Raw genomic sequence first — 18245 nt, forward strand, 5'->3', positions numbered from 1 at the left:
TCATCCAATAAACACTAAATGGTATTTAGGTATTCCTAAGTATCAGGCCCTGTGCTAGGCTCTGGGGATTTAGAAATCAACACGTTGGATAAAACTCTCTGCCTCCGTGGTGCTTTCATTCTAGGAGGGTGTGGTGGGCAGAATAATGGTCCCCCAAATGCTCATGTCCTAATTGCTGAAACCTGTGAATATGTTACCCCACACGGCATAAAGAACGCTGTGGATGTGATTAAGCTGAGGACCTTGAGGTGGGGAGTTTGTCCTGGATTATTTGGGTGGGCCCGGTGTCTTCATAAGGGTTCTTATAAGAGAAAGACCAGAGTCAGAGAGAGATTTGAAGGTGCTGTGCGGCTGGCTTTGAAGATATTAGGTTGGTGCAAAAATAATTGCATTTTTTACCATTAGTAACGGCAATTACTTTTGCACCAACCTAATAAAAGGGAGGCCATGAGTCAAGGAACATGGGCAGCCTCTAGAAGCTGGAGAAGGCGAGGAACAGACTCTCCCCTGGGGCTGCAGAAGGAGCAACCTCTGCTGACACCTGGATTTGAGGCCTTCTGATCCCTAGAACTGTAAAAGAATGCATTTGTGTTATTTGGGGCCACTAAGTTTGTGGCCATTTTTTTCAGGAGCAGTGGAAACTAACACATAGGAGAGACAGACAATGAACAAATCATTGAGGAAAATGCGTATTATGTCAGTGGAATTATGTGCCATGGAGAAAAATGATGCAGGGAGGGGAGAGACAGTGAGGGATGGGAGTTACAATTTAAAATGAGGCTGGGCAAGGCTGGACCCAGAAGGGGATGTTGGAGCAAAGACCTGAAGGAAAGGAAGGATGGAGCCAGGCAGTCCCTTGGGGGACAAGTGTCCTAGGGAGAGGGAACTGCCAGTGCAAGGACCTCTTGCAGGCTTCCTCAACCTCAGTGCTATTGACATTCTGGGCCAGATCATTGTCTGGGGAGCTGTCCCAGGCATGGTAAGATGTTCAGTGGCATCCTGGCCTCTACCCACCTGATGCCTGTAGCCCCCTCCCCTTAATGGTGACACCCAAGCATGTCTCAGGACATTGCCATTGCACCTGGAGGACAAAATCACCCATGGTTGACAGCCACTGCTTTAAAGGGACCAGAGAAACATGGCTGAGGCACGAAATTTTCTGGGGTGCTGGCATGATACAAAGCCAAGGTCCCAACAAATGAATGAATGCTCTGATGCTTGCATTCAGGGAACAGCAGCATCAGCCTCACTGGGAACTTACTAGAAAAGCAGAATCTCATGACATACCCCAGCCCCACCAAGTCAGGATGCGCGATGCAACGGAATCCCCAGGCAGGCAGTAAGTATGCCCATCAGATTTGAAAGGCGCTGGTTCAGAGATCCCTGTGCGGTCCTTCTCAGCTGCAATGGTGGTGGATGCTGCACCAATTAGGAGTCCATTCATGAGACAGATATCCTGGGGTACCTGCCATGTGCAAGTTTCCAGCTCAGGGCTGTGTAGAGCTGCCTCATGGCAGGTGCACAGGCTCTGAGGTCAGACTGCCTGGGTTCAAATCCTCACTCTGCATAGTAGCACTGTGACCCTGGCAAGGCACCCAGCACCTCCAAGCCTGTTTCTGTATTTCTGTAGTGAGGCTAATGATAAAAATAGTCCTGATTCCATGATGTTTACTGTCAGGGGTAAGAAGGACAGCCCAACTAACATGTTTGGCTCAGTGCTTGGCACTCCAAAAGTGGTCAACCTTTGTTTTTAAGAGTATCTATCTGTCTGTCTATCTGTCTGTCTGTCTATCCAAAGGAGGCAGTTGGTGGAGGCAGGAAGTACATGCCTACCTCATAGTGCTTCAGAGAGGATTAAATGAGATGACTGTCAAGTGCTCAATTCAGCATCTAATATAAAACAAACACTGCATGAATGGCAGTAATTAATATTATCAGAATAATTTCTTTTGAGAAAATGAACAGTGGTAAAGGGCTTAACAATGAATGACGTTCTCAGCTGTTTACTCTGAATTACACTCTTGTGGCCAGAATGTCCTTGGCTCCTTGGCAGTAATTGTCAAACCAGGATGGGAGCAGTCAGTCCTTCCACTCCCCCAGCCTGGGCCAAGCAAGGCAGGTTTCCATCTGCTTGTGACCTCTTGTCACACACAGAGAGGGTGGAGAGGCTTCTCTCACATGGCAGCTCTTGTGGGGAGCTCTCATTGTTTTTGCAACATCAGGGTTGGTGATGGTGTCTGAAGGATAGCTGAAATCCCAAGCCCTGAGTTCAGGCAGTCCTGGGGTTGGTTATTCCAGCAGTTGGATGACATTTTCTAAGACCTAGGTTCCTTTCATATTTCCTTTCTGCCATCCTCAGTGTCTGGGTTGGCTCTCCTCATGGGATCAGGATGGCTGCAGTCACTCCAGGCATCACATCTTCATTTGCTGAAATTCAGAGACAGCAAAGGAGAGCCATATGGTCCCTATGTCTCATTTTCCAATATAAAATTTTTTTTCCAAAGCCCACCCGCTCTCTCTTCTACAAAAAGCCTTTCCTTTCATCCTCATTGGTCAGAATGGCAACAGGACCTATCCTAAGCAAATTGCGGGCAACAGGAATGATTGATTTTATGGTTGATATTAATTTCTCTTAAAGCTGGGGATAGGGTAGCCTTTTCTGAATACAAAACCATGAGACAGAAGGTGCCATCCAAGCAAAATCAGGGTCCTGCCAGCAAGATAAGATATTGACTGTATAGGTTACCTGCAGTGTCTCCTTCTGAGGCCTTCACCCCATATCAGACCCTTTAATCTCTGATTCCAGCATCCAATTATCTATACAATCAGATTCAGGAAGAGCAGAATTAAGACACAGCCTGGATTTCAGGGGGAAGTAGTCATTCGCAATACTTCTGCAGGAAATTCTTAACTCTATGACAGCAACCGGATTGCAGGCAGACCACACATCTCCCTTTAGGTTGATGGAGCCCTGGTTTAGAACCCGGAGCTGGGCCCACACCAAGATTCCCATCCATCCCAGGATTTCTAATCAGTTAAGGCATCTCTTGGGAAGAACTCCATGGAGGGGACTAGTGGGCTGATACACCTGAGAAAGGCTCCAGGAGAGAGAGCCAGTGTCAGATAAAAGGGGGATTCTGGGATGGCACAGCATTAGACACTCAGATAATCCCTGGGCTCTTTGACTCCTGTGTTCCTTATGTGCAAGAGCAGACACTGAGGAGCCAGGCCCCCGAAATATCTGCAGGACATTGAGAATGGGGCGGACCCAGGTGGGGTCACCAGTGTTTGGGGTTAGCAGTTTGAGCCATCATGCTGATCATGATGATCAGCTTCTCCAAAACCTGCAAAACTGGCACTGCCTCCAGGAGTCAGGGAAGGAAAGGAAGTGGAGGAGGCTGAGGACATGTGGAGGAGGCTGAGGACATGTGTACAATGAACATCCCTCCCTGCCCCAGGAAATCTCTGAAAGAGTTGGAGAAGGATTTTGAGGGGGGCAGAATTCTTCACATGGCAGGTACCAGGACCACAGAGTAATATCCTTAGGGAACATACATTGCTTCTGGCTCTATCCCAAGGCTGGTGTGGCTTGCAATGGTGGGTTTGGTTAAATTTGTGACTTTCTCTTTGGTAAAATGATGGATGCTTTGCACTGGAGTCAAGCACCTCACTTGATCATTTAGGCCTGACTCACCTACTAGAATATCAGCCCTCTGAGGACAAGTGCCTTTGCCTATATCACAGTCTCCCCAATATTGTGGGTGTCACTATTGGTTGTCCATTCTGTTTTTGGAAGCTTTTTTATATGATAAATACAGCATCCCAGCACACTTCAAATTACATAGCAATGCAAATTTTCATTCATGTAATAATGGATTCAAACACATATTTATGAAATAAACTGTTGCAATGATCATTACTTACCATGATGCCTTTTAAATGTTACAATTGTAGTTTTTTTAGTTGTTATGAGGCATAGGCAGTTGAAATTAACTGCACAGTGAGTTAGCGTTTAAGGAAATGGAAACACCCAGGAGTAGCCATTAGAAGAATGAGAATTCTGCAAACCACAGATAGAGGAGGCTCATTTCCCCCACAGCCACTTACTGGAAACTTCCACTAAAGATTCAATGCCCAGAATCTCACAAGGAAAGATGTTTTCCCTTAGGAAGTCTCCTTTGGTTTACTCTCCATGAGCTGGAAGTCTTATCAGTGAAAATGAAGAGGGAGCGAGCACCAGGGCTGTTTGGCCTGTCTGTGAAAAACAGACCAGCAGAATTCCCCTACACGCAGGAGGGGGCATCCTGCCATCAGCGGGGAGAAGGGGTCACAGCCGAAGCATCATATGCATCCTTGCCGTGTGTGTGACTTGCCTTGCAGCTTGCATGGTGCTTTTCTGTCTAGTGTTTCATTTTACCTTTAAAACAATACTGAGAGGTAGGCAGGATGGGGATTCTCAGCCTCATCCTGTAGTTGAGCGGTCTGAGGTTGAGTGGGGTTAGACAGGTGACTCATTCAAGATCACATCCCCAAATGCAGACCCAGTGACACCTGACACTCCTCCCTGTCCATCCTCTGTGGGGTAGGCATCGTCCCCGACACAAACACTCCTGAAAGGAAAACTGAAAACAAAATTGTTCAGGGACAGAATCTGAAGCAAGAGGGGTTGTCTTCTAGACACTGGGAGGTGCTAAGGAGAGAAAGCAAGGTGCAGTGCTGGGATGTCGGCAGAGCCCTGGCAGTGGGGGAAGGGGGAGGGGAAGGAGGTCACCCTTTCTGTCATCAGCATGAGGGTGGTGATGCAGGCTGGCAACACAAACCGTCCATCCTCGTCTTCCTAGATCCAGAGCCCCAGATTTATTATTATTTATTTTTTTAGACGGAATCTCGCTCTGTTGCCTAGGCTGGAGTTCAATGGTGCAATATTAGCTCACTGCAAATTCCGTCTCCCGGGTTCAAGAGATTCTTATGCTTCAGCCTCCCAAGTAGCTAGGATTACAGGTGCCTACCACAATGCCCGGCCAATTTTTTGTATTTTTAGTAGAGACAGGGTTTCACCATGTTGGCCAGGCTGGTCTCAAACTCCGGACCTCAGGTGATCCACCTGCCTTGGCCTCCCAAAGTGCTGGGATTACAGGCGTGAGCCATCGCGCCTGGCCCAGAGCCCAATATTTTTTAAACTGCAGAACCTTCCTGATCAAAGGGCAGCAGGTTAGTGGAGCCTCCAAGAGCCCAGCCCTTGGGTTGAAGGGATCTGGGTCTTAAACTAGTTCCACCCTCGCAGAACATTAGCTAATCTCCTCTGAACCTCGGTTTCCTCATCTGTAAGTGCAAATAAAATTAGTTGATCTCTTGGGGCCTTTGGGAGGAAAAATTATCAAGGAAGTGAAGCACTTAGCATGGTATCTAGCATATACTAAGCACTCAGTAAAGGCTGCAGTGGCTATTACCATGATCATCTAGGACTAACAGGGACTATAAACCAGGCTGTGCCTAATGTTACTATGTTACAGTAATTTTAATTAACAAATGCAAACGAGATGCTCGTCTTCTAAAAGGCATGTTATAAAAACAACTTTAAAAATTGCTTGTTTTGGTTACTTCTTTCACACCATGCTGCCATGCTCCATGCAGAATGCAGTCACAGTTACATCCTGCATTAGGAGCAGTTCACGCCCAGAGTTGTGTGTAAGGTGGTACCATTCAAAGAAAGCCACGGCATATTCTGAAAATTTAGGTGGAGTAAGTAACACAGATCTTTCATTCTCACTTCTAATCTTGGGGAAGAAACAACAGGCTACTTTCTCAGAAACCCTCACATTGCAAGTTCCTCTCTGAAACTGACGCAGCCCCACGCTTAAGTTGAGAACTGGTGCAAAACAAATGTATAAAATCCTCCAATGTCTTGTGCAAATTCTATTTTAAACGAGTTTCAGCTGAGCCAGGGAGAGCCAGAAGGAGAGGGCTGTTTTAAGGATAAGTGAACATGTACGAGACAGCTGAATGAGGAGAGAAGAGAAATGCCTGCATATCAACTGAGATGGCGGATTTCTTTCTGGCAGGCAAATGCCAAGCTGTGGGCATCAGACCTACAACAGGACACAAAGCAGAAGAGAGGTTATTCAGCTGGGCAGCCAGAGAGCTGCTAAATCAAGGACTATCAAGTTCTGCATTTGTTCTCTTCTTACTTTTTTCATGTCAAACCCTTAATCTTCACATCAGTTATATGCACATAATTTTGTCGTTCCTTGCTACCACATGATTGTGACATCAAAACAGTCTAACAGTTAACGCTGGTAACAGGATCGTTCCAAGAACCCAAGCTCTGGAGACGAGCATAAAGGCACAAAACAGTAAGGCCAGGCGTCCCTGGTCTACCGAAAAAAACTTACAAACGAAGAATCGAAACCTTGAAGGAAAAGTTCAGATTGTGGCAAACGAAGAATCGAAACCTTGAAGGAAAAGTTCAGATTGTGGGAAATAGGACAGCGGCTTAGGATTAACACCAACCTCCTCGGTTACTAGTGGTCAGAGGGATGGGGCCACTTGCAGTTAATTTTCTAGAAAACATAACATGATTGATGTTGTCTAAGTATCAGATGTCACTTGGCTCCCCAAGAATGTATTTGTTGAATCAAGATTAAATTAAGGTTGCCCTATAAAGCAAGGGTTTTGGTCTTTGCTTCTTCTGATTCTCAACATTTTTACTCCTGGGGAGCCACAATAGTCCCTAAGTGGTTTTTCAGCCGCTTTTTAGGTTTCAGAAACAGCATCCGTGCCCTTTTGATGTAATCTATGTCCCAATAATTAGTTCCTGCAGCAATGTAAATGATTAAAGTCAAGCCACGCTCATTTTTAAAGAAAAACCTCTAAACCCACAAATGTGTTCACCAATGTGTAAGTTTCAACACGCTTGGTTGGAGCAATGATTCATCTCACAATACTGATCTGGAAGAATAACAATATTTTGTCTATTTTCATTTAAATATTTAATAGGAGATAGTAATTTTATTTAATTCCTAAAGTTTATGACCAAAACTAATTGACAGGAATTAAGTCATTCAGCCAATATTTACTGAGCACCTGCTATATGCTCAGTACTATGCTAGGCACCAGCAATTAAAGAAGATCTCCTCCCTGCTTTGAGGGGATCACAGCCTAGTGATATGGGATGTATGAAAAGTAATGGATTCAAGAGTCCGGCAACCTAAGTTTGACACCTAATTCAGCCTCTTACACCTTTGGAGGAGAAGACCACCTGGGTTGATCAGACGGTCTCCAGGTGCTTGTTTTCACTCCATTCTGGCCCAAGCCCAGAGTCAGCAGCCTAGGTTTTAGTGGGATGAGGATACCAAGAAGTGTGGCTAAAAGGGAGATTGCAAGGACCTGACTTAAAGACCTGCAGGCGGGTGAGGTTATCACACGTTCCACATGTTGGCAGCCAATAACAACAAATTGAAAGCGATTGAACACTTACTGTGTGCCAGGCATGGGGATAGGCGCTTCACCTGTATTATCCTGCTTCATCCTCCCAACAATTCTTTGAGGTACCATTATGATCCCATTTTACATATGAGAAACTGAGGCTTAGAGGGAAAGGACTTGAGCAAAATCACAGGGCCCTAGGCACTTGAGCCAGATTTTGGAACTGGCTCTTTTGGGCTCCATGCTTAAGAGACCCCATACCCCACTAGGGTCTTAACCATCACTTAGTAGCAATTAAGCCTGTCGCTTAACAGCTGCCACGTGCCTCCATATGCTACCCATTGCACCCATTCAAGGTTCTATTGGTTCTGGCCCAATCGCATTTTTCTCTAGAAAGTGGACCTTTTCTCTGCAGAGTCTACAGAGTGTGAGGGTCTAACTACACCTGCTATTTAAGAGAGCTCAAGCCTTGGACTCAAAAAGCATGGACTCAGCCCAGGTACTGAGCAGAGAGACAAAGCCAAGATACTGAGTAGCTTTGTAACTTCCAGCGTTCTTATATTAGTACAAAGCTATTTCCAATTTTATATAATTACCTTTTTGAGGTAATTATCAATTCATGACCTTTTTAGTAAATGAGAGTGCTGAGGAAGGGCTAGACATTGAGGCCATTTTCCTAAAGGATTTGAAATGACGCAGTGGAAGGCACCCAGATGAAGGACAGGCGCAAGTGAACGAGCCTCAAATGCATACAGACTCCTGCATTTTAGCATCCGGATCCACCATTCACGGCAGAGCTAGACCCTGACACCAAAAATTGAGATGACTGATATACCGACTAGAACTCCAGACACCATCTTGTGATCCATCCCCCCACTCAGCAGAGGCCTAGAGAATGAATACCAGCAATGTCAAAAAAACAAACAAAAAATTCCACAGAAAATCTCCCCAGTCATTTGATTGTATAAATAATTTATTTCTGTTCACAGCATCATATATGCATTATAAAAGGCTATGGAAACAAAAGAGAAGGATGATGAGACAGAGAATTACAGCAGTAGAAAGGAAAACAGAAACCAGGGCACACAGTTCCAACACCAGAACAGAGAATTTGGGAAGATAATTGCTCTGAAACAGAACTGGCCTCCCTGTGTCTATTAGAAAACATTTCCAAAGCTCACGGAGGGAGGCCAACTTCCCCTATGGGAAACCCATTCACTCGCCAAAGGGCAGAAGGCATCATAAATCACCCATTGATACATTGGTGGGGGGCTCCCTGTCCCCCTGGTGACCACTCCAAGGTGATTTGATCTGTGCTTCCTCTGTTGGGTCAGAGACGAAACGGGCTATTATTAGGTCAAACATTACAGAAATCAACTGAGACTCTTAACTAGTAGTTGATACACCACAGGGCTTTACTTTACTGCACAATTACTAACAGTTGATTGCACCCTTAAGTATTGATTATGCAAAAAACAAAATCATCTCGCATCAGTTTTAAAGCATGACAGGGTTTGAACAGTGATCTTGAACCTAAGTATTGTTATCATGAGAAGGTTACAGTATTTGGCATCTGCAATGTCACAAAATAAATATATTATTCTCTCAATAGTGTGGAACTACCAAAATGTCAAAGTGCTTAAGAAATTGTCGCATGTGAAGAAAATAAAGAAAGATGGATTTTTTTTTTAATAATTCTATACAGAATCTTCAGATGATGGGACCAGCCCATTTAGAAATCAGTGGATATGCTGTCGATATGTAAACTGAAATCTTGCAGGCTTTTCAACACTGCTTAGCTAGACTTTCTCTACTGAGTTTCTACAAAAAGACCAGCATTGGAGGGGTACCAAATACACCGACAAAAGAGAAAAAGCAGATGGGCTGCTAGGTTTCTGCTTTTAAAAAATTTCATATAAGAATTGGGTTTCAAGCAGGAAGCCAGAACTTCTGCCTCTGGTTCTTAAATTAACATTCGGTGTGTAATGGACAATAGGCAGGGACTCATAATTTGACTAACTCACATGCTCAAGCATGATCGTGTCCAATTTCTACAGGCCTCCTTTGTAAAGAAATGTGTAACAATGGGGGGAAAGTCATAATTCTACCTGAAAACATGGATTGTAAGAGGAAATAAAAAAATCAAACAGTATGTTTTAAGTTTCCCTTTTGATACTGTGTTTCAGGGTAAGTGACAGCTTCTGCAAACCAAGACTCAGTCCTGATTATAAAGGATTTTTAAAATTACATTATTAAAAATATGTATTTATTCTTCTTTCACTTTATCTATTTTCCAAAGCCTCTTTCAAGTAAACTGTGAAGTGCCTGAGTACCAGTGACCATGACGTCACACTTTCTTTTATCTCAAGCACTCATTGTTGTTTGCATTTGCCCAAAGTGCTGGCTGGCTCCGAAGGCCAGTTCCCACAAGAATGAATTCGGAAAGACTTCATCCTTGTGTTTTTCCTTCTCTTTTAATTCCATGCAACGAGGTCAGCTTTTGCAACAAGGTGGGGTTTTATTTTTTTGGTGCATGACATCAAATACTCTAACGAGACATTTTTAATGAAAGACTTAAACCAGATAGGCCACAATGAACCAAATTAGAAATCTGAACATGTCACCACTTGCAGCATAAAGGAATATAAAAGGGCAGAGCAAAGTCTTTTTTCCTAAGGTGAATATTTCTAAGGTAAGTATTCATTTGTAAAAGTTTTTTTTTTTCATCATGTCTGAAAACCCATTATCACGCGGTTAGTATTACAAGAGACATCCCTTGGTTAAAAAAAAAAATACCATCTTGCAATTCAGCACACACCTGCAGCTGGTGTGCTCATCCAAACCAATCAGTAGGCTAAGAGAATTTAAAATTCCATACATATGAGTCTAGGTATTAATGCCGATTACACAGTACACAGTACAGAGGGAGGTCCCTATATCCACACACACACACACCCCATCCAGCATTTACACCAAAAGCCTTACCCTTTAAACACCTTTAACTATCCTGCAAACAGTAAATGCATCATTGGCCACCACCTCCAATAGTTCGTCTTTTTTTTTTTTTATTTTTTTTATTTTTATTGGTCTCTTTGTGTGATAATGACCTACACATGGACAGGGTCCAAACCATCTGGAAGATGTCTGATTCCAGGCTGAAAAGCAGTTCTCAACAAAACTGGTCTTCTGCAGCCACCACAAAGCACCAGGAAAAGGGCACCTCCGCGGCCATCCCCAGCCAGGCCAGCACAGCGCTCCGTGCCCGCTGAACCGTCCCAGGCAGTCCTCTGATGACCCAAACCACCACCACCTTTGGGCCCAGAGCAGGACAAATGAAATTTCAACAGGGGCCTGCCCTGTGACCGAAAATTACTCAGCTTCACAGCCCCTGAATGCAAGGAGAGGTGGTCCCCCCAGAACCAACATGCCCCCCAAGGTGGGTACGCCCACGGTTCTGGGAAATGCATACCTCAGGTAATTCACAGGTGCGATCCCCCAGTGGAGGCGGGGCAGCCTGAACTTCTGGCCCTGCAGGAGTGGGAAGAAATCGCTTTTGTCTTTCCGACAACTGAGCCTTCCACCTGGGGCTGGGAGGGCGGACAGCAGGACCGGCTCTTCCACTCCCCACCGCGGCCCCCCGACCTGGTCAGTAGCTCTGGCGTTCAGACAAAAGGTCCCCTGAGCTGGGGGTGGGGGGCAGGTCGAGAGTAGGCCGGTAAATCAGACTTCGCAGCTCCTTAAGTCACCAGTCCTGCATTTGGGTGCAGAGATTCCGTTTTAAAAATTCGAAGCATCGCTTTGGTTCGCTCTTTGTTCGCGGGCGCGGGTTCTCGCTCATCCATCCATCCATCCATCCAACCATCCATCCATCCATTCATTCTTTCTTGACGCACTCGCTCGCTCCCCGGTCGCTCCGGGCGCATTACCGCTTCTTCTTCTGCTTGAGGGACTTCCTGCGTTTCAGGATCATCTCATAGAGCTTGTCCATGCCCTCGGTGAGGCCCTCGCCGATGATGGCGCACGCCGGCTGGACGTGATAGGTGGTGGCCGGGATAAGCTCGTGCAGCGCCAGCTGCTTCTCAATCTCTGCCACCGGCAGCGACTTGGGCAGGTCCTGCTTGTTGGCGATGACCAGCAGCGGCGTGCCCTGGTTCTCGGCGAACTTGGTCACCTTGTGCAGCTCCGTCTTGGCCTCCTCCAGCCGGTCCACGTCCACCGAGTCCACCACGTAGATGATGCCGTCCGTGCAGCGGCTGTAGGACTTCCACAGCGGCCGCAGCTTCTCCTGGCCGCCCACGTCCCAGAAGTGGCAGCTGATGCCCTTGGCCGTGCCGTTGCTCAGCTTGATCTTCTCGGTGTTGAAGCCGATGGTGGGCACCGTGTTCACGAACTCGTTGAACTTGAGCCGGTAGAGCACCGTGGTCTTGCCGGCCGAGTCCAAGCCCAACATGACGATATGCAGGGACTGGAAGGCCGAGATGTTAGAGGAGATGTTGCCCATGGCTCCTGGCTGCGGCGCCAGCCACTGCGGCTGCGGCGGGAGGGCGCCGCCCCCCGAGCAGTCACGGGCCCGACGCGGCCGGGCGCACCTGGGCCCCGCCCGCCGCCGCCCGCACCGGCCCCGGGGCTCGGCGTCCCCGCGGGCGCACGGCTTGGCGCGCTCAGACGCCGCAGTCCCCGCGCCCTCGCCGGCCGGGCTCGCGATCGGCGGGCATCGCGTCTCTACGCGCGGCTTTGTCTCCCGCGAAGCCGCCTCAGATGTTCGGCGCCCTCCCCAGGCCTGGGCTCGCTCTGTGGTTTCCTCGGGCCGCGCCCCCGCGCTCCGGCAGCTGCCCGGGCTCTCCGCTCTCCCGGCGCCCGGCGCTCGCCTCTGGCCTGGGACGGCGCTGCTCCTGCTCCTGCTCCCGCTCCCGCTCCCGGAGCGCGGGCTTCCCCGGGAGTCGCTGTCCGCTCGGCAGCCTCACAGTCCCCGCGCCGCCGCAGCAGCCGCCAGCCTGCAGCGGCCGGAGAGCTCCCGGACCCGCCCCCTCGCGCCCCGCCCCGGACCCGCCCCCGGACCCGCCCCGGGCCCCGCCCCGCCCGCCGCCGGGGGTCAGGCGCGGTCCTCCCCGCCCAGCCGGCCGTTTTCGCGCGCTTCGCTGCGTCCCCGCCGCCCCCCGCCGCCCCCCGGCCCCTCCCGCGCCGCGCCGCGCAGACACAATGGGCGCGGAGCCGGCTCTTCCTCCCCAGCGGCTGACGCGTTTGCAAAAATAGCTCTCGGCTCCCGGAATCCCCGCCCGGGTCCTAGCCCGCCCCCTGCCCCTCCGGGCCGCAGCCGTGGGCGACGCAGCCTGCCTGAGGGAGTGGGTCCCGGGGTCCCAGCTCTGTGGGCGCGAGGCGGGGCAGGGCGGCCCCCAGGGTGACTGGGAGAGCGCCGCTCTGGGGAGTGAGGGCGGCGAGGCTGGGGCCTCCAAACCCCAGAAGGGACGGGACGGGGCTGGCCTCGGTGAGCTGCCAGCCTGCGCTCTGGATCCAGCCGGGCGCGTCCCCTCCCACCCTCGCGCCGCGGCTGTCGCCGGCCCCGGCCCCCAGTGACGCCCAGGCTCGCCTCCTGCCTGGGTTCCAGGGGGCTGCACCCGGCCAGCGCCGCCCTCCGGAGCCCAGGCCTGTGCCCAGGGCACCCTGGAGGCCCAGCCTTTCTTGCCCGGTGGCGGCGGTTGGGGCAGGGTCGGACCTAGGCCGCGATGGGGGATTAGAAGACCTACCTGCCCCAAGTAGCTCGGACAGCTCACCCTCCCAGACACGCCTGGGCTACCTCATTTCGTCCGCATCGACTCTGCTGACATCCCAGGGGAAGCGTCAGCATTTCGGGAGAGCACCCCTTGCCACCCGACTTTGGGAACTGAGAACCACCTGCCCGCAGGTGAACTACTCCGCAGAAATGGCAACACCAGCCCCGGGGGCTGAAAGAAAATGTGTCTACAGCTTGGAGCTGGTGGCGCAGTGGGTTACAAACACTGATATTCCACGGGTTCCACCTCCTGTCACCTCAGTTCAATGGTTTTATTCTGGTTTGTAAACATGTAACAAATGTATATCCTCTCTGGGTGCGGAGAAAAGTGAGAGTATATTATGGCAAACACACAGATCTGGGGAGAGCTGCTCCGCAGGAGACAGCAGGCCGCAGCATGGGCGACCGCATCTTCCCAGCTCTAGCTTATGAGACAGAAACGACGGAAACGGGGTCAAGGGAGAAGAAAATGAAAATGCTAAGAATTTATGAATAAAAGCTAGAATTTTAGAGAAATACTTTATCACCTTCTGTTCACAAACCACGAAAAGACATATGATATCGTTGGTACCAAAGCATGTGAGAAGACCTCACCTGTAGAAGGAAGGACAAGCCACCACCACCCCTATCCTTGGAATTCCCAAGGTGGCAGCCGGAGCGACCATCCACTCTACTGAGTGGATTTGGGGCTGGAAACGAAGTATCAGGCTGGAAAGGACCCTGCCTATCATTCCACCCAACGTTGTCCAGTGAGGTAACAAGGCCTAGGCGCCCGTGACGGCTAAGGCAGAACCTAGAGGCCCACTGCCTGCTCCAGGACCAAGGGTCTGTATGCACAAAACTGGGCACCTGCCTGCCCTCTTCCTCACATCCCACTCTACCCACACGCTATTTCCTTCAATGAGGAATAAAGTGAGCCACCCGAAGGATAGAGTTCAACAGAAAATATTGGCTGCACTGTGCCACTTACTTCATTTTAAATAAAAATGGAAATGTATTCACTGACATCACTGAAAAGTTAAGGATAAAGGTCCTCTTCAGGCATGGCTAGACCCAGGAGCTCAAAAGGAGTCTTTCGAGCAGGTGTCTCTCCAGTCCTCCTCCGTGTTCCCCTGTGTTGATTCTTTTTCCTTCTGGCAGCCTTGGACTCACATCCTTGGTTTAGATCCTGGAAAGGAAAAGGTACAACTCTTTCCCAGTAACTCTAACCAAAGCCTGGAGCACGCACCCTGGATCAAGGACTGCAGTCCAGGAGGAGGGAACACACCAGTGGATGTGGCCCAGGGGTTGAAATCGGGAAGGGTGGTTCTCCAAGAAGAATCCAGGATCTGTCACCAAAAGAGCAACTCTAGTGAGGCAACAGAAACAACATATGTTGGCATAATTCATAATGATGATGTTTCCGTTATTGGGAACCCTGGGGAGACAGGATTTTGTGTTTTTGGAGTGATTTTCTTGACTCTCTTTAATGCCTGCCCCATAGATAGCCAGCTTCTCATGAGACTGTTTCTTGTTTCTCTTTCTTCTCTGCCACAGGCAGGGCCGAGGCTGAGCCCCAACCCAAGATGAGCCTTTGGTTTAGTAGCCTGGGACCTGGACATTTGGAAAGAGACAGATCAGACTGGAAGCCTCTCCATCCGGCTTCCACAGATTACCTTTGTGTTACTTCCTTTTCCCCTAGTCAAGACTTGCTTTAAGTTTTAAGGTGGTAGGAAGGAGATATTTTAGTAAAGTATCCGATGTATCTTTTTGGTGCTATGCTAATTATTACCAAGAGCCTCAGTGGTTTTGACTGCAGCCTCCACATTTTGCACCACCATGATGGGGTTTAGCAATAAAGGGCTGTCTGCTGTCCAGTAGGAAAAAACAGATTAATAGACATTAATAGAGCCTTCCAGAACACAGCCATTAAACAGCAACTCACCATAATTGAATAGCAACCACTCTACCTGCTAATTTCACTCACCAGGTGATAAGTTAATTTTACAGTTGATAATTTAACTTCTAACACATAAAAATATCATTTGGTTGAGTCGACTGGTAACTTTCCTTCAAATGTGGATTTTTATTGAAAAACACTGGAATTATGAAAAGGAAGGTAATGTTTACCACTCATATCAGACATGTAAGGCCTACTTTGAGCCTATTTCTTCATGGACATACATCATGGCTAAATTCCACTGAGTGGAAAATATTGGCTGCACTGTGGCACTTACTTCATTTTAATTAATCAGAAGGAGAGATTTTTTCAAAGAATAGCATGTACTTGTGTCTGCCTGAGATGAATTCCTCTTCCAGCAGCAGTGACATTTCAGGTCCTCTCCTTTCTATTCTTCATCAAGATGACTGCATCCAGAGAAGAACTCAATTATTTCAAGCAAACAGAAGGCAATAACTTGGCAGTAATTTTGAAATTGCATCCTAAAATATTCTCTTTTTTTTCCCTTTAAGGGCTTTGAAATAAAATGTGCCACCAATTAAAATGACTTTTGAGTGAATCCGATGAGCAATATATCATGGCATTATTATCTTTGCTTGAGTAAGGCTAATAACCTAAAATGCAAAAGGGAGCATCCCATTTATTCTTGAATATGATGAGTAAATAAAGACCAGAACATGGGCACACGTGTACACACATACACACACGCGCGTGCGCGCATAAGTGTGGGGTTATTTGCATGTTCTCACTGCAGACCTGCTGTGGAACTCTGGGTTCAGGTTCACTGCCCCGGTGCTTAACTGTTATAATACAGGAGTGCCCTCTGCTGAGCTTCTCGGATAATAGATGAAGGGCTCTACAGAGGCACATTGGCCTAGTGCTTAGCAAATGTTCAGTCCATAGTTATGGAATGAATGATGGATAAGTGACCCCCTGCTTTTCTTCTCTCTATGGAGATGCAGGAATAGAGCCCTACTGGTTAAACTGAGAAAGTGCCAGGGGCCCATGGGTGCTTTGCTTGGGGCTCAGAGCTCAGAGCCATTGATGCCAGTGTGGGTCTTGTCTGTGAGACCTGTGGGTTATCTGCTGGGAGAGGGGAGCCAGGAACCTGGCAGAGCAGGAAGTCGCTTTACTAGGAGAACTGTTCAAAGAATCACAATTGGTGGAAGAGATCAGAAAAGAGCATCCAGGAAACCCAGCTGAGACCAGAGAAGGGAAGAAAACTGATTTTTGCATCTAATTCGCAGGCAGGCATGAGCAGCTGTAAATGGAGAATGGGGCTGGGAGTCGAGAATGAAGGAGGCCAGTTGGCAGACAAAGTGACAAGGCCTGAAGCTCCTGAAGCCAGGTGGTCCAGGATTGAAGCCTTTTATCTGTCAGGAGAGGTTCCTTAAGGAAGAACCAAACCAATACTTCCAGAAGCCCCAGGGCATGCTAGACAAACCAGTCACCATCACTGCAGTGCAACCCCCTCAACTCCAGGAGAAACGCCGACTCAGGCTACGTAACAGTGGAAGCCACTAAGACACTGGTGCCAAGGGAAGTTTTGTGGATGGGACGGTAGATCTGGGGGGAGATAAATGAAAATCTGTGATGCCTGCAAGCTCCTGCTTCATTCAAGTGGTCCAAAGCCTGAAAATAAAAAAGATCCACTACTCTATTGGCCATTCAAGTTTATAATTCTAAGGAAAAAAAAATCAGGGTGCCTTATTTTTTATTTTGCTAAGCAACAGGGCTGAAACAATTCAGGTTTTTATTTTCCCAATGATCACCACTGCTAGTGTTTTGTATGGTTGTTGTTGTTGCTGTTTTCTCCAAGAAAAAAAATTTAAATCAAAAAGCTAAAAGGCTCCCCCGCTTCAAGTCTTCCTTAATAATTGTCGATCTCTATTACATTCCTGAGATAGATATAAAATTTTAGAAGCCATTATCTGGGCTGGGCATGGTGGCTCACATCTGTAATCTCAGCACTTTGGAAGGCTAAGGTGGGAGGGTCATCTGAGGTCAGGAGTTTGAGACCAGCCTGACCAACATGGTGAAACCCCATCTGTACTAAAAATATAAAAATTAGCCGAGTATGGTGACAGGCATCTGTCATCCTAGCTATTCTTGAGGCTGAGGCAGGAGAATGGCTTGAACCTGGGAGGCAGAGGTTGCAGTGAGCCAAGATCGCGCCACTGCACTCCAGCCTGGGCAACAAAAGCGAAACTCCATCTCAAAAAATAATAATAATAAATAGAAGCCATTATCTTTCCTATCAGTAATATTTTCAAATATAATTCTTATATAACACTATTTTACATCTCTCCCTAATATTTACATGGCATGTATTAAATGAACCTTTGTCAAGGATGTTAAGACTCAAAGCTTTGGAAGTCAGCACTCAGGCATACCAAAGTGACAGAAAAGTTCTTAGTGCCAGCTTCCAGTTCAGGGGGAAGAAAAGGCTTAGTATGCAAAAGGTATTTCTGAATCCTTTAATAATTCAATCACAGTAATTAAATTTCTACTCTAATAGCTACAGTGAAGGAAAAAAAAAACAAGTTAACAATAAATATCAGGTGATTAGAGAGCTGCACCATGAACCAAGAAGTATTTGATGGAAACTTGGATTACTTTCATTCCTCTTCTCCCACCTCTGCAGGTGAACTGAAATGCTATTATTTTCATTTAATTAAGCTTACTTGGCTGGACCCCAGAGAGATGAAAACAATCACGCTTTTGTGCCCCTGTCAAACCCTATTGGCTTTCTACAGTGCAGCAGGGAGGATGGGGTGTGTTGCCAGTGCCACCCTCTCTAATGTGTGGTCACTCAGGATGACTCTTCCCTTTAATACAACAGTTGGCTTTTGTAGAACCATCCTCTGTGTGGATACAGCACAGCATCTGAACAGAGCTCCTTGGCCCGTTGCTGCTTCTGTTGGAGTGATAGCCACTTGAGATGATCATTTCTTCCTTATGAGTCACACAGTGCTCATGTAACCTGATGCTTTGCTCCATCAATCACAGAAAATCCCTTTTACTCTCTTGCTTCTGCCTCTCCCAGTCTCCTGCAGCTGCTCTCCTAAGGTCATTGATGACCTATGGAAAAATCCAAAGGGCTGATCTGTG

The 18245-nt window shown here is 47.8% G+C and overlaps 1 protein-coding gene across 2 annotated transcripts, besides 3 other annotated features; it reads right to left on the reverse strand.

Moving 5' to 3' along the window:
• Nucleotides 1–8380: 8380 nt before the first annotated feature.
• On the reverse strand, nt 8381–12421 carry ARL4C (ARF like GTPase 4C). 2 transcript variants are annotated; one of them, NM_001282431.2, is made up of 2 exons: nt 11352–12421; nt 8381–11176 (listed from the first exon to the last, which is right to left on the reverse strand). In NM_001282431.2, exons 1-2 carry the CDS (start codon nt 11924–11926, stop codon nt 11146–11148), a joined length of 606 nt encoding a protein of 201 aa, NP_001269360.1. In that variant the 5' UTR covers nt 11927–12421; the 3' UTR covers nt 8381–11145. The 2 variants fall into 2 exon arrangements, with proteins under 2 accessions (NP_001269360.1, NP_005728.2); NM_005737.3 differs by having other exon boundaries at nt 8381–12389.
• Nucleotides 11999–12098: a silencer, noted in NCBI's record as "silent region_12473". NCBI's record gives its function as "represses an Ori minimal core promoter by ATAC-STARR-seq in GM12878 lymphoblastoid cells {active_cell/tissue: GM12878}" and the evidence as "EXISTENCE:reporter gene assay evidence [ECO:0000049][PMID:35858748]".
• Nucleotides 12209–12498: a silencer, noted in NCBI's record as "silent region_12474". NCBI's record gives its function as "represses an Ori minimal core promoter by ATAC-STARR-seq in GM12878 lymphoblastoid cells {active_cell/tissue: GM12878}" and the evidence as "EXISTENCE:reporter gene assay evidence [ECO:0000049][PMID:35858748]".
• Nucleotides 12683–13456: an enhancer, noted in NCBI's record as "H3K27ac hESC enhancer chr2:235405987-235406760 (GRCh37/hg19 assembly coordinates)". NCBI's record gives its function as "activates a minimal SCP1, AML or CMV promoter by ChIP-STARR-seq in naive H9 embryonic stem cells {active_cell/tissue: H9 hESC(naive)}" and the evidence as "EXISTENCE:reporter gene assay evidence [ECO:0000049][PMID:30033119]".

This window comes from Homo sapiens, chromosome 2 (genome assembly GCF_000001405.40).
Source record: "Homo sapiens chromosome 2, GRCh38.p14 Primary Assembly".
NCBI classification, from domain to species: domain Eukaryota; kingdom Metazoa; phylum Chordata; class Mammalia; order Primates; family Hominidae; genus Homo; species Homo sapiens.

What these genes read in the sequence shown, in the direction of transcription:
- ARL4C (NM_001282431.2), bottom strand. Translation starts at nt 11,926, where the DNA reads ATGGGCAACATCTCCTCTAACATCTCGGCCTTCCAGTCCCTGCATATC. An exon ending in CTCAAGCAGAAGAAGAAGCG is followed by an intron (nt 11,177 to 11,351) that starts GTAATGCGCCCG and finishes ACCCAAATGCAG; the next exon opens with GACTGGTGACTTAAGGAGCT.